Raw genomic sequence first — 14,148 nt, forward strand, 5'->3', positions numbered from 1 at the left:
AATTCCATTTCTGTCGATGGTAACATATATGTACTTGGAGAGTATTACAAGAGCCAAGAAAAACTAAATATGTTAATGATGGTCACACGGCCAAGAATGGAATAAATTGGATAAGACATATGACTATTTCTGTGCTCCTAAAATAACTATCATTCTCCATAGTCTTAAAGTTCTATAAGTTTACCTATTCTATCATTAGAAATATATCATGTTAGCCTTAGACATAAATAACTGTCTGCGTTTCAAAGTAAACCATAGCATCATAAGGTTAGAAGACCTAATGATGGGTGTATAAGTGGTAGATAAGCTTTTCTCAGCAGATGTTCACTACTTGGAAGATCTTCTAGAAAGAGGATTCTACAATTTCCCAAAGTAAATAACTACAACCTCAAATATTCTTAATTTCAAAATCTTTGATTTTTCTAATCTATTTTTTCCTGCTGTTTTTCCTTCGTAGAGGTTAGAAAAGAACAGGCACCATCCTCAGTATGACAGCATCTCATCTACTGGAAAAGCATTATTGTCACCCCGAGCCTTCGTTTTTTTTTTTTTTTTTTTTTTGAAACGGAGTCTCACTCTATTGCCCTGGCTGGAGTGCAATGGCTCACTGCAACCTCCGCCTCCCAGGTTCAAGCAATTCTCTTCCCTCAGCCTCCCAAGTAGCTGGGATTACAGGCACTCACCACCACGCTCGGCTAATTTTTTTTTTTTTTTTTTTTTGTATTTTAGTAGAGGCGGGGTTTCACCATGTTGGCCAGGCTGGTCTTGAACTCCTGACCTCCTGATCTGCCCGCCTTGGCCTCCCAAAGTGCTGGGATTACAGGCGTAAGCCACCGTGCCCAGCCGAGCCTTCGTTTTTCTAAGCTCAGCAACTTGGACTTTTCTCCAGACTCCTGTTCTCCAAAACTAATTTTTTTTTTTTTAAGATATGGGGTCTCAGTCTGTCACCCAGACTGTGGCGCAATGGTTTGATCATAGCCCACTGCAGCCTCGAACTCCTGGGCTCACGCTATCCTCCCACCTTAGCCTACCAAGTAGCCAGGACCACAGGTGTGTGCCACCATGCCTGCCTATTTTTATTTATTTATTTATTTATTTATTTATTTATTTTTATTTTTATTTTTTGAGATGGAGTCTCGCTCTGTCGCCCAGGCTGGAGTGCAGTGGCGGGATCTCGGCTCACTGCAAGCTCCGCCTGCCGGGTTCACGCCATTCTCCTGCCTCAGCCTCCCAAGTAGCTGGGACTACAGGCGCCCGCCACTACGCCCGGCTAATTTTTTGTATTTTTAGTAGAGACGGGGTTTCACCGTTTTAGCCGGGATGGTCTCGATCTCCTGACCTCGTGATCCGCCCGCCTCGGCCTCCCAAAGTGCTGGGATTACAGGCGTGAGCCACCGCGCCCGGCCTATTTATTTATTTTTTTATAGAGACGGGCTCTCACTCTGTTGCCCAGGCTGGTCTGGAACACCTATGCTCAAGCGATCCTCTCGCCTCAGCTTCCCAAAGTGCTGTGATTATAGGCGTGAGTCACTGTGTTCAGCCTAAAAGTTGAATTCTATTCATGTTATTTTTAAATCACAAAGACCAGACTTAAACTTAACCAGCAACAGCACTTTGTTGTTTCTACTTTTCTAAATAAATAGTTAACATATAATTGAACAATCTTCTTTTTTTTTTTTTTTTGAGACAGAGTCTCGCTCTGTCGCCCAGGCTGGAGTGCTGTGGCACTATCTCGGCTCACTGCAAGCTCCGCCTCCGGGGTTCATGCCATTCTCCTGCCTCGGCCTCCAGAGCAGCTGGGACCACAGGCGCCCGCCACCACGCCTGGCTAATCTTTTTTTTTATTTTATTTTTAGTAGAGACGGGGTTTCACCATGTTAGCCAGGATGGTCTTGATCTCCTGACCTTGTGATCCGCCCACCTCAGCCTCCCAAAGTGCTAGGATTACAGGCGTGAGCCACCGTGCCCAGCCTAATTGAACATACTTCTATACATACAGTCTTCTCAAACAGAACTGAAACCCATAAAATTAAAAATTACGGAATTTTCCATATTGCAGAGACTACCTTATTGTCTCTTAGTTAAATCAAACCAATGATCTAGGATTATAATTAACAAATTATGGCTACATATATAGCCCCAAAACATTAAAAAGAATGAATACTTACCTGATCTGTCCTTGGATGAAAATTTTTCCTCTAAATTGCAGAATAGAGAGGAAACTGGTTCTCTTTTATGGTTCACCACTATTTCTTCTGCTTTAATAGAATTTGTGGCCACTATAAAGAAATAAGCAAGAACAGAATATTTATATAACAATTTTAGTAATACACGAAGAGAAGGAAAGTAGAATATATATGCAAATTTCATATCAATGTTTTTCTTTTACTTAGTGATACCTCAAAGGACTTTTTAGTAAGAAGCAGAAGTTTCACTTTGTTGACATGTTTAATTTTTCCCCCTTTCACAACTTTTTAAGTCCCAGAAAAACTACTGTTACTATTTCCAAATAAAAGGCTAGGAGTTGGGTTAAGAGGGAAATAGAATTTTATTAAAAGATCAGATGGTGGTGAGGAGCCACTTCATACTATGCAAACAGGGATTTTGTAAGGACAAGGAATTACATTTCTTTTATTATGAAAGCCACTTTTTATGTTTTGTGTTCCCCAAGAAAAAAATGTTACATGTATTATCACAGACAGAAGCCTAATATGTCTTGTCATTTTAATAAGGTGGTAGTCTTTGTGGGAAAGAAGAGGAAAAAAAGTAGTATATGATCTATCTTCCACTTAGAAAGTTAATTTTCCCAAAGAGCTTTTACTTTATATGGCACTAAGATCAAGGCAATAGCTCAGGTTACCTTAATTATATCAAAGTGGCATATATTAAAAATACGAATTTGTATTCCAGTCAATAGTTAGAATGCAACAATCAATTATTCAGAAGTTTATGGGCTTTCTGTAGTCATACAAATAACGAACATAAAAGGTTTAAGAATAGTATATTTTTGTAACTACAAAACATCAAAAATGTATCTACCTTCAAATTTGATGCTGGTTCTTTATTTTTCTGATTCACTTTTAGTCTGTTAGAAAGTAAAAAGACAAATTTTCTCCTTTATGTGAAAATAATCGTAGAATCATAAAAATTTAGAGTTAGAAAAAAACTTAGAGAACTTCTAGATGAAGTAAGCACAAGTCTCTCTAAATTAGAGACTTTGATTTATTTCCCTTACTCATAGTTACAGAATGAACTGGAGCTGGAACTCTGGAATCCAGAATGTTTTTCCTACTACTTAATGATTCCTCAAACTTATTTAGGCACAACTTTGTGTACATACGTGAGGCAGTGAGGCACCAGCGTTGAATTTAAAGTCTCTGAATCACACTGCCCAAGTTTGAATCTTGGTTCCTTACTAGCTGTGTGATCTTGAGCAGGCTACTTAATCCCTCTGTGCCTCAGTTTCTTCATCTGTAAAATGACATTAATAACTATAACTCCCCAATGGGACTGCTACAAAAAAAATAAATTAGTATATATAAAGCACATAGAATGGTGTCTGACATATGGCAAGTATTCCATAAATGTCAGCAATTACTAGGATTCTATCAATAACTACATGGATATGTACTTGCTAGGTTTTATTTTTACTTATTTTTTATTTTTTGAGACAGAGTCTTGCTCTGTCTCAGGAGCAGTGGCACCTGGAGCACAGTGGCACAATCTTGGCTCACTGCAACCTCCGCCTCCTGGTTCAAGCAATTCTCCTGTCTCAGCCTCCCGAGTAGCTGGGACTACCAGCGTATACTACGACGCCCAGCTAAGTTTTGTATTTTTAGTAGAGACAGGGTTTCATCATGTTGGCCAGGCTGGTCTCAAACTCCTGACCTCAAGTGATCTGGGATTACAGGCGTGAGCCACTGCACCCGGCCTGTACTTGCTAGGTTTTAAAATAGCTTAATTATACCACAATTGGAATAGTGGATCATTTTTGTTTTCAATACATGTATATGTACTCGCTGATATTCCATTTTGGCACGTGAACTGTGTAGCCAAAGGAATGGTTCTTCATAGAGTACATGCAAAATTCCAAATATCAAACACATAACTGAACTCACTTAAAAACTGAATACCATTCACGTGGTGATCATTTGGGCCCATTAATATACTTAGAACATCTGACATCCAGAGGGATTTCTTTCTTTTTGAGATGGGGTGTCACACTGTCACCCAGGCTGGAGTGCGGTGGTGCAACCTTGGCTTACTGCAACCTCTGCCTCCCAGGCTCAAACCATCCTCCCACCTCAGCCTCCCGAGCAACTGGGACCACAAGTGCACACCACCACATCTGGCTAATTCTTAAAATATTTTTGGTGGAGAAGGGGTTTCACCAGATTGCCCAGTCTGATCTTGAACTCCTTAGCTCAAGCGATCTGCCCGCCTCAGCCTCCCAAAGTGCTAGGATTACAGGTATGAGTCACTGCACCCAGCCAGAGGGATCATTTTTGTTTTGTTTTGTTTTGTTTGTTTTTTGAGATGGAGTTCCGCTCTCATTGCCCAGGCTAGAGTGCAGTGGCACGATCTTGGCTCACTGCAACCTCCGCCTCCCCGGTTCAAGCGATTCTCTGGCCTCAGCCTCCTAAGTAGCTGGGATTACAGGCGCCCACCACCACGCTCAGATAATTTTTGTATTTTCAGTAGAGACAGAGTTTCGCCATGTTGGCCAGGCTGGTCTCAAACTCCAGACCTCAGGTCAGAGGGATCATTTTTTTATTACCTCTTCCTCTATGTGATAAAATTATTTTTCAGTAATAATCATGAAATGAAACAATAGGAAAGAGACAGTGGAAATTCAACTCCACTTATATACCAATAGAAAATAAAGTAAGTATTATAGTACAAAAAAGGAAATTGTAATGAAATTAACATTTTCAAAAAATAAAAAACACATATGCCAATGTACTGGTTTGTTTGCAGTACTAAATAACATTACACCTCTTTTCTTGATTTCTTTTTTAGTTTTGAAGCAACTATTAACAATGAAAAAAGAAAAAAATTCAAAGTTAAATGTATTATTTGAATTCAATTATTCAAGAGGGGGCCGGGCACAGTGGCTCATGCCTATAATCCCAGCACTTTGGGAGGCTGAGGTGGGTAGATCACTTGAAGTCAGGAGTTGGAGACCAGCCTGGCCAACATGGTGAAACCCCAACTCTACTGAAAAAAATACAAAAATTAGCAAGGCGTGGTGCTGGGCGCCTGTAGTCCCAGCTACTCGGGAGGTTGAGGCAGGAGAATTGCTTGAACGGCGGAGGCGGAGGCTACAGTGAGCCCAGATTGTGCCACTGCACTCCAACCTGAGCAACAGAGCAAAGCCCTGTCTCAAAAAAAATTATTCAAGAGGATAATTCCATGAAACAAAAATATTATACCTTAAAATTTACACTATGTTTCACTCTTAAATTTCATAAACAAAAACTCTAAGTGGTCACATAGAACAATGTTTAAGTAATCAAGTTCTGTCTCTTCATCCTTAAAATCACTGTGCTACCATTGTTTACAAAGAATCTACTGTTTAAATGCAGGAATATGGACCACCAGGGTTGCGAACATGAACTGTGCCTTAAATCTTGAATTACCCTGAACTTTTATGAGTTTACTTGGAAATATATACAATAGCTGGGTCCATGTTTGTTGAAGGACAATTGTATGAGTGGGAGTTCTCTAAATTAATTTCCATGTAGAATATACTGTTTATTAAAAAAATAATTAAAATGTGCTGATTTGAAGTTTAAATTCATATACTAAAACTTAACAGAGACTACAGAAATTGTTTAAAATCCAGATCCATGAGAGATTTTTCATGGAGGACTATTTTATTATTGACACAGTTTAGAATTACTGGTACATAAAAATTACTGGAAATAAAAAACAGACTTTTAGTGGGTTTACTGTAGTTTAAATTCTCTACAGATAATGAGAATTACTATTGTCCATACCCAAGATCTACTGTTCTTATTGCCCCACTCTTGGTATGCCATTCAAGGTAAAATCTGCTCTAAGTACTATCTTTGAAGATGGGCTTGCTGCATTAAGTATTCTTAACCTACTTAGGAGAAAACTTTACAATTAATTTTTATTGAGAGCCTACTGAGTCCATGGTATTGTATCCACACAGACTGCATGCACATGAATGTCGCTAGTTACTAATCATATTTATTTGCTAAAGTCATCTCAACAGGATTTTTTTAAAAAAAACGATTTAGCGGCCGGGCGCAGTGGCTCACGCCTGTAATCCCAACCCTTTGGGAGGCCGAGGCAGGCAGATCACCTCAGGTCAGGAGTTCGAGACCAGCCTGACCAACATGGAGAAACCCCATCTCTACTTAAAGAAAAAAAAAATACAAAATTAGCTGGGTGTGCTGGCGCATGCCTGTAATCCCAGCTACTCAGGGAGGCTGAGGCAGGAGAATTGCTTGAACCTGGGAGGCGGAGATTGCAGTCAGCCGAGATTGCGCCATTGCACTCCAGCCTGGACAACAAGAGCGAAACTCCGTCTCAAAAATAAATAAATAAATAAATAAAAATAAAATTAAATTAAAAAATAAAAAACGACTTAGATATTGTATGTACTCAAATTTAAAATAAATACCACACAAAGTCACATATATTCCATTTTTCAGGCTTTTACCAACTCAGATTGGCTTTCTACCTGTACATTCCAAATAAGTGAGGTTATATTATAACATTTAGAAGAGCTTTCAAAATATTAACATTTATATCACATTAACAATTTAAGGACTTTGGGCATTATTCAAATTTTCACAAATCACATGGCATCAGATTCACTTGTTCTATTTTCACAAGCAACTATCTCAAGAGAACAAAAGCTTTAACTCTGCTACCAATCTTTTTCAGACATTCACAGGATCAACATCATCTCTAATCTATCCTCCCATAATCTTGCAGCTACATACATGTACAAATTTTCCATTTATGTGATCCTGGTACTCTTGAAAAGGCAGTCTTTTTAACTAAAAGAAAATCTGACTTACCTCAAAAGGTATCTTGGTATGAGAGAGAATGCCAACTACAGCCACGTTAGAAACGAACAGTTATGTCTGGCAAGGAAGTGATATACCAAGCTTAAACCCACAGTTCCACTTCTGCTTTACAGCTCTTATACTTTCCTGTTGCTACTAAGCTCCTTTACTCACAAAATTCCTCTCATTAGTCACCTGCAGTGTACTGAAGCAGCACCTGTACTATTTATAGCTCTAGGATTCCCCCACCCTCTCCTGTCAATAAGAATCACCTGGGGCAGTTAAAAAAAAAATCACAAGTCAACCCCCTGATATTAGATTTCAAGGTGTTTGAAAGGAGGCTCCAGAATCCGATTTTTTTTTCTAATCAGCTGAATTTATGACTCACAGAATCTGATTTTAAGCAAGTGTTCCCAAGTGAGTCTTATAAGCCAGTTAAGTTCAAGAATAATGCTCCAAGTGAAAGTGAGATCTGTGGCAGATCTTCACAGTTCCTCTAGCCTCATCAGCCTCAAGGGCTAATCCTCCTCCGGTGTTAGGCCTCAGGGTATTTGAAAACAAGAGAAGGCCCAGTTTGAAGAATGCAGAATGGCATCTCGTCCACACTTAAGTTTTCAATACCCTAAAAAATTTATCGAAGGGAGATTTTAGTTTGGGGAGGTGCTGTGAAGTAAGACATCACCAGGGGGCAGCATAGAGTTGACAAATTATACATGTTTTGGGATTTTTGACTTCACACTACAACATGAAATGGTTGCACCTACAATTTCCATTAACTCGGATTACTCAGAAAAGGACAAAACCCAGAACACTTAAGACACACGTAAACTTTATTAGCATGTAATTTTCAATACAATGGCTATTATATTATAAATACATAATATAAATATTTATAAATATAAATATTTTCTACAATGGCTATTATACTATAAATAGCCATTGTAGAAAAAAATGTTCCCTTGAAGTCGCATGAACCCGAATTCAAAAAAATTTTATTAGGATACAAAGATTCCTGGTAGAAATTTGAAGTGGTCTTCAAATTTCTCTCAGCAAGTTTCAAAATACTTGTCGTACTCTGAGAGTTAATTAGCGTTATAACTGGATGCTTCTCAATAGTTTCAATCAAATCTTAAGTAGAGTTCTACTAAGGTGGAAAATGGAGTGGATAACAATCTGGGCAAGCTATGCCAAAGCTTTTTCTAAAGAAAGTGTACCTAGTTAAAATGCTGTCACTGACTGTCAGAAAACTATAGCTCCCCTCCCGTGCATCCTCCATTAATTTTTCTTAACCCATCTCCACTTTCTCTATTCTAGTCCACATTTCTTCCGTCTAGAAATGTAGAAAAATCCTTTGGCAACCCAGGTAGCTTCCACAAGTATCATCTCCAAGTGTTTCTTCCTCTGAAATTCCACCATTAGAGATTAGAGATGAGTAGGAAATGCTGAAAGGCGAAGGAGGATCTGAAGAAATTTTACATTTTTTTCTCAGTTTGCCAAAAGTAGATACTCCCTGTATAGATATTCCCGTATAATCCAGGGAAGGTAGTCCAAGACCGTGGGGCAATTCCAAGAGGTGGTTTTGAAGTCCTTCAACTCTACCATTTTCATTTTATCCATACTAAAAAAGCTACGGCAGGAAGAAAAGACAAAGGACATTCCTGGGAGGCCAACTGGACCTAATCAAATAAAAACACTTTAGAAGAGGTACAAGAATCAGAAATCAAACCTATCTGCAGAGCCAAAAGCCATTCTGAAACTCCGTGTCCTAGAAACAAGGGTTTCCCATCTTTTCAAATATTTTAAGATAAAAATCGCAACACCCTATAGGAAAATGGCTATATTTTTAGCAAGAATTGGTGGAGAAGACAAACGATAATAAGCTACTATGAATCCAGAAGCTGCTTAAATGGCCGTATTCACAGCAGCCCTTGCAAACATTAATTAGAGTAGTACCCATTATGGGTGAGGACTTTTTTTTTAACCACAGAGAATATCTGTGGGTGCATCCAGATTGCTCAGTGGTTCCGTTTAACCCACCCGGTAACTGGCAATCATGGCCCTAGGACAGGCTTCTCCACCGGGGCGATGCTGCCTCCAAGGGGCGCAATGTTACTTTTTATGCATCAAGCACGGATAACACATACAGCACATAAGCAGGTCGACAGTGTATCTGCGGTACTGGGATTTCACGGGGAAAGGAGATGGGGACGTGTAAAAAGCCTTTTTAAGAGTCAGATAACGAAAAACGGAAAAAGAGGAGAAACACGGTCCTACAAGGGTCCTGAGCTGAGGCCATCAAATGAATGTACTGACAGGTATTTTTCTCCCAGGCAGCCAACTGAGAGTCAAGGCACTCTGACCGTGCTATGACTCCGGCCACACAGAAAGAGGTGTTTTCCCCTCGGTGGCCTCCAAGCGCAGCGGGCACTGCGTGCCATCCGCTCCCTCACCGGGCGCCCCGCGCGGATGAAACGGAGCAACTGGGAAAGAGCTCTGGAAACTGCAAAGCGCTGCGCCAAAGCGACGGGAGGTTCCCATTCTCAGCTGTACGAAATCCCGCGGGGGTCCTCCGCTTCCCCGAGCGACGCCCTCGGCCTCCGCACTTGTTGCTTCTGCGCCCCGCCTGCGTCCCCGTCAAACCCACCCTTCGCGGCCCCCTCGCCTCTCCACACGCTCGCACTCAGGCCCCGACCCTGCCCCGCGACCCCCTCACCCACGCCACGAAGCCCGCTCTGCGTGGCAGCCCCGGAGACAGCCGAGCCCCCGCCTCCGCCCCCTGCCCAGCTCAGGCCGCCAGCCCCTGCCAGCCGACGCCGCGGTTTCCTAGACAGCCGCGCCGCCGTTCCGCAGCCTCGGGGGCGCGCGCGCGCGGCCGGCGGGAGGCGAGGGCGCAGGCGCGGGCTCGGCCAAGCCGCCGGCGCGAGGCCTCGCGCGCGCCCCCGAGCGCGGTGGGCGGAGGGGCGGAGGGAGCGGCGGGGCCGCGAGGGGGCGGGGGGGCGGAGAGGGGAGCCCCGGGAGCGCGAGCCGCGGCCGGCGCCGCTGCAGAGCCGAGCGAATCCCGAGCCCGGGCAGCAGGTATGTGTCCTCGCAGCCGGCCGCGGCCAGAGCTTCCCCTGCCTCACTGCCCGAGTCTTGTGGTCGGGGCGGGGGGTGGGGGGACCGGTCAAGGTTTGCAGGATGCGTGCTCGGAAGGGCTGGGATCTTGCCGCTGACCTTCATCCCCCTGGCCGGGGGAGCCAGGCGAGGGTGCGTGGGGCAGCCCAGGGCTTCAGCTCCAGCCTGGAGACCTGCTTCTTGTCACATGCTTCTTATTTATTTTTGCAAACTGCCCTGGTTCGGGTCCAGCTGCAGATGCCTTACCTCCCATTCTTTGCCTCCGTGTGCCATCTTGCATTTATTAATAAAACATGCAAGCTGGAGGGGGGGGTTGCTGCTGGGGGGAATCCCATTGCAGTATGGCAAGCGGGCGCCTATTTTCGGTTTTCAGACGTGGTATAGAGGTGGAAATCCCACACCCTGAGGATTTGTGGCTTGGTTGGTCGTGACCACTTCCTAGTGGGCTTCCCCCGTTTGTCGGGAGGTGCCCCAGCGGCAGAATGGGCTGTCTGGAAGGGATGGTGGGTCTTCACCGTCAGGCCAGAATCCCCTTCAGGGGACAGGTGCAAGCTAGGGCAGGCAGTTCCCTGCTTGCTAACTTGCCAGGGAGGCTTAAACCTAGAAAATTGTCTCCCTTGATGGCCGAGAAAAGATGGCCTTCAACAGAATCCCTGGGACTTGCATACTCAAACTCATTACGGTTTTGCATCTGAACATGACTAAAGCTAGCCACCTGTTGGAAGTCAGACCCCATGAAACACCCCCGTAATCTAGCTCACCCATCCCTGTTTCACAGTCACCAATACTGAGCTAGCAATAGGCCCATATGGGTTCCCTCTATCCTCTTTAATGCTGCTTGGCTTTTCTTTTAAAATAAGACCTACCTATGATTTGATGCCCTATATGTGAGAGGTTGAAATTATATGATTTGTTTATATTCCATACACCTATCACATCATATCCTAAAGACTGAATTTCTCTTCAGTGCATGTGTTTATTTCCCTGGCTTTTCACCTTGCTTTGAACAACAGTGGGAAAATGGGATGTATATAACTGCTTACCTCCTCCCCCAAATACCTCCACCCTAAAATATTGTGATGAAAAGAATAGTAAGAGCTAGAAGCAAAAAATGAAAATGGTTATCACAAGATGTTGGGATATGATAGCTGAACCGTAATTGCTTCTAAAATGGTCAGAGTGTCACATCTAATCACGAGAAGGACATGTTTCTTAAATGTTCATATGTACCAGGTACTGAGCTAAAACTATTTGTGTATGAGCTCATTTAGTCCTCACAGCAAACCTGCTATGTCCATGTTGAAGATGAACAAGCCAGGACTTAGAAAGGTTAACTAACTTGCCCAAGGTCACACAGTCAGGGACAGGGTAAGGATGCAAACTCAAGCACATGGGGATACTGGAGGTGGGGAGCCCTGAGGGGGCTTTTCCTCCAGGTGCGGCTGCTCCGTGTACCTTTTCATTAAAATCAAGCTTATGCATGAGCATGTTGGCTTGGGTCTAATTTTCCATTTCATAGATTCTGCACCAACTTTGTGGCTTTCCAGTAAGAAAAGCAGTTGTTTCAGAATGGATCAGTATGGAATTTTTTGAGGTGGCACTAAACCTATAAAAAGTGGGGTCCAAGATGTGCTTCCATTTAATTCTCACACACAAGGAGTTGAGTTTAAAAAGTTGTTTCCCTCCAGATTTAAACCCATAAAACGTATATGCATTAAGTAGAATGAATCACTCCCATTTTCCATTATCGCATCCCACCCTACCCTCCTTGCTGCCCTTCACACTATCTTCTGGTCTCACTGCCAGTCATCAGAGCAACATTGTCTATCACACTTGCCTGTGAGTGCCTTAATGGGAGGAAGGAATCCATCCGTACCAGCCGTGGCTCGTAATCCAGTCTCTCTATGATTGTAGCAATTATGCATTCAAAGTTCTTGGAATCTCTGCATTCAGCTATGGATGTGTATTTAATCATTTTTTTAAAGTGCATTATTATAATGCAGGTATTGGATTTTGTTAAACATTCCTAGCAGTTCTCATGGACTTAGAAATTGCTGTAGTTGCATCAGTGAAAATTCACCCAGTGGGGCTAATAGCTTTTCTACTCAGGTCACATAGTTGAGATAGTGGTGAGAAAGGTATAGGTGAATAGAAGGAATTATTTGGAAAGTATATCCCATGCAAATAACAGCTTTTAATTATAAATTGATGAATAATATTAAGTAGGAAATATAAGACTATCTCTTTTAATTTTATAAGCTCTGTTTTTGCCTTGGTCAATGTGATTGGTTTTAGAGCAACATGATGTTACCTTTTTCATTACACTGTTCTTTTGAAACAGTATAGCGGTTTGTACATAGTATTCTTGCCTCGTGGGAAACACTCAGTTTAGGAGGAGCACATTCCCTGGTGTTTACAGAAATGCTGAGACAGGATCTTTCTGTCTTGGGGATTTCCAGTCTATGATCAGATAAACTCAAGATGAGTCCTGATGTTACTGGGCAAGAAGCAGAAAGCAAGAGGTGTTACTTGATTTCTGGGGAGGAAATGAGTTTTCCTGTGGGGAGCATCACTATCTTCTTCAGTTGGGAATCTCATGATTGAAGAGTTTGAGAAACGGACTAGTCTGCTGTCTTCCATTCAAGCAGGATTTCATTTAATGCAGAGCTGAGAAGGCTTTATCGTGCAAAGGCCAATTCAGGAAATATAAAAGTGTTTCTGGACTACTTTTTTTTTCTCTTAAAACATATATTTAAACTGGGAAAGTCATATGGGAAACTATTAATGCTTAAGCATTATTTGTTTTTATTCCCTTCACGAGAGTTTTTGGGAGAGTGGGGGAAAAGTTTTCCAAGCTATGAAACTCACATGTCTGTGGTGACTGATTATAATGAATATTTTAGTACATTGTTGAATAAGGCACTAAAACTGGGATATTTGTTTTTCCTTGATCGACCTTGTAAGCTACTTCATTATGAAATGTGTTTTTTCTTAAAGTATTTCTTAATTTAGTATTCTTTAAAATGAGATTTTTATTCAGTTGTCGACAGTCTTGAATCACAAAAGTTCACAGATTACTTTGAAATACTTGATTTTCATCAGTCTCTGTTTCTTACTATGGCTGTCGTGTGCTGTGTCCTGTGATAGGAAGTTTCACATCTCATATTGCAGTGACCACCCTTTGTGGTCAACTGTTTATATGATAAGAAGTGGGGGAGCCCAAGGTATATGACCTAAGGGGCAGAGCCAAGATTTGAGCCCAAGTCAGCATAGCTCAAACTCTGGGCTCATTGCCTTTTGCACCCTGACTGCAAGATGAAGCACTTTCTGCCCCATAGTTCTCTGGCCTCCCATCCTATTCTGCTCCATCCACACTGGCCTCCTTGCTGTACCCCCTGCCCCAGGCCCTTAGCACTAATGGTTCTCTCCCCTGGAATACTCTTCCCACAGGTATCTTCATAGTCCCTCGCCTCATTTCAGCTTTGCTCATAGTCCAACCACTCCTTTAAAACTATCCCCACTCCCACAGCATCCTTTCCTCCTCCCTGTCTTGCTTTTATTCGTAGCACCTCCTAGCCTACTATATTAATTAGTTGTTAAGTGTATTGCCCATCTCCCCCATGGAATGAATGCTCCAAAGGGCAGGGGTTCTGTGTATTTTGTTCACTCCCCCAACTCTGGTACTGTGAAAAAAGAATCAACAAATCACTATGGTATCCTTGAATCTTTCCAGCTTCCCACACTTTTTGTTTTTGTTAGTCCTTACTGTTCTCTGTAGTGAGCAATGAAACCTCTAAAATGCAAAAGCTTTATGTGTTGTTTGGGGGAACAGCAAGAAAGTAGAGAAGAATCGGGAAAGATCTGGCTTACTCTTGAGCCGGTGTTGGGAAGAGAGGAACCTGTAAAGATGGGGAAAAAGTCACCTGAGGGTTGGGATGTGTGACGAGGCAGCAAATGGTACGTGGGGAGATGGCCTGGGATGGAGAAGAGA

General features: G+C 42.4%; 2 protein-coding genes across 11 annotated transcripts in view, besides 4 other annotated features; one reads left to right on the top strand and one right to left on the bottom strand.

Moving 5' to 3' along the window:
* Positions 1-10,342, bottom strand: part of NRG4 (neuregulin 4) — a 124,848-nt gene extending 114,506 nt beyond the window's left edge. For 3 of the 8 annotated variants that reach the window (XR_007064433.1, XR_007064432.1, XM_047432184.1), the window contains exons 1-3: positions 7,056-7,123; positions 3,040-3,471; positions 2,169-2,279 (exon numbers count right to left, since the gene is read on the bottom strand). The gene's annotated coding sequence lies outside the window, so the exon portion shown is untranslated. Of the gene's footprint in view, positions 1-2,168; positions 2,280-3,039; positions 3,472-7,055; positions 7,124-9,493; positions 9,694-10,256 lie in introns of those variants that run through there. The other 5 variants (XM_047432181.1, XM_047432183.1, XM_047432182.1 and 2 more) reach the window with 5 other exon arrangements.
* Positions 7,197-7,246: an enhancer, noted in NCBI's record as "active region_9868". NCBI's record gives its function as "activates an Ori minimal core promoter by ATAC-STARR-seq in GM12878 lymphoblastoid cells {active_cell/tissue: GM12878}" and the evidence as "EXISTENCE:reporter gene assay evidence [ECO:0000049][PMID:35858748]".
* Positions 7,307-7,356: an enhancer, noted in NCBI's record as "active region_9869". NCBI's record gives its function as "activates an Ori minimal core promoter by ATAC-STARR-seq in GM12878 lymphoblastoid cells {active_cell/tissue: GM12878}" and the evidence as "EXISTENCE:reporter gene assay evidence [ECO:0000049][PMID:35858748]".
* Positions 7,547-7,596: an enhancer, noted in NCBI's record as "active region_9870". NCBI's record gives its function as "activates an Ori minimal core promoter by ATAC-STARR-seq in GM12878 lymphoblastoid cells {active_cell/tissue: GM12878}" and the evidence as "EXISTENCE:reporter gene assay evidence [ECO:0000049][PMID:35858748]".
* Positions 9,080-9,129: a silencer, noted in NCBI's record as "silent region_6687". NCBI's record gives its function as "represses an Ori minimal core promoter by ATAC-STARR-seq in GM12878 lymphoblastoid cells {active_cell/tissue: GM12878}" and the evidence as "EXISTENCE:reporter gene assay evidence [ECO:0000049][PMID:35858748]".
* TMEM266 (transmembrane protein 266) overlaps positions 10,087-14,148 on the top strand; it is a 144,979-nt gene continuing 140,917 nt past the window's right edge. For all 3 annotated transcript variants that reach the window (XM_047432151.1, XM_017021915.2, NM_152335.5), the window contains exon 1: positions 10,087-10,118. The gene's annotated coding sequence lies outside the window, so the exon portion shown is untranslated. The remainder of the gene's footprint in view (positions 10,119-14,148) is intronic.

Source organism: Homo sapiens, chromosome 15, assembly GCF_000001405.40.
Source record: "Homo sapiens chromosome 15, GRCh38.p14 Primary Assembly".
Classification (NCBI taxonomy): domain Eukaryota; kingdom Metazoa; phylum Chordata; class Mammalia; order Primates; family Hominidae; genus Homo; species Homo sapiens.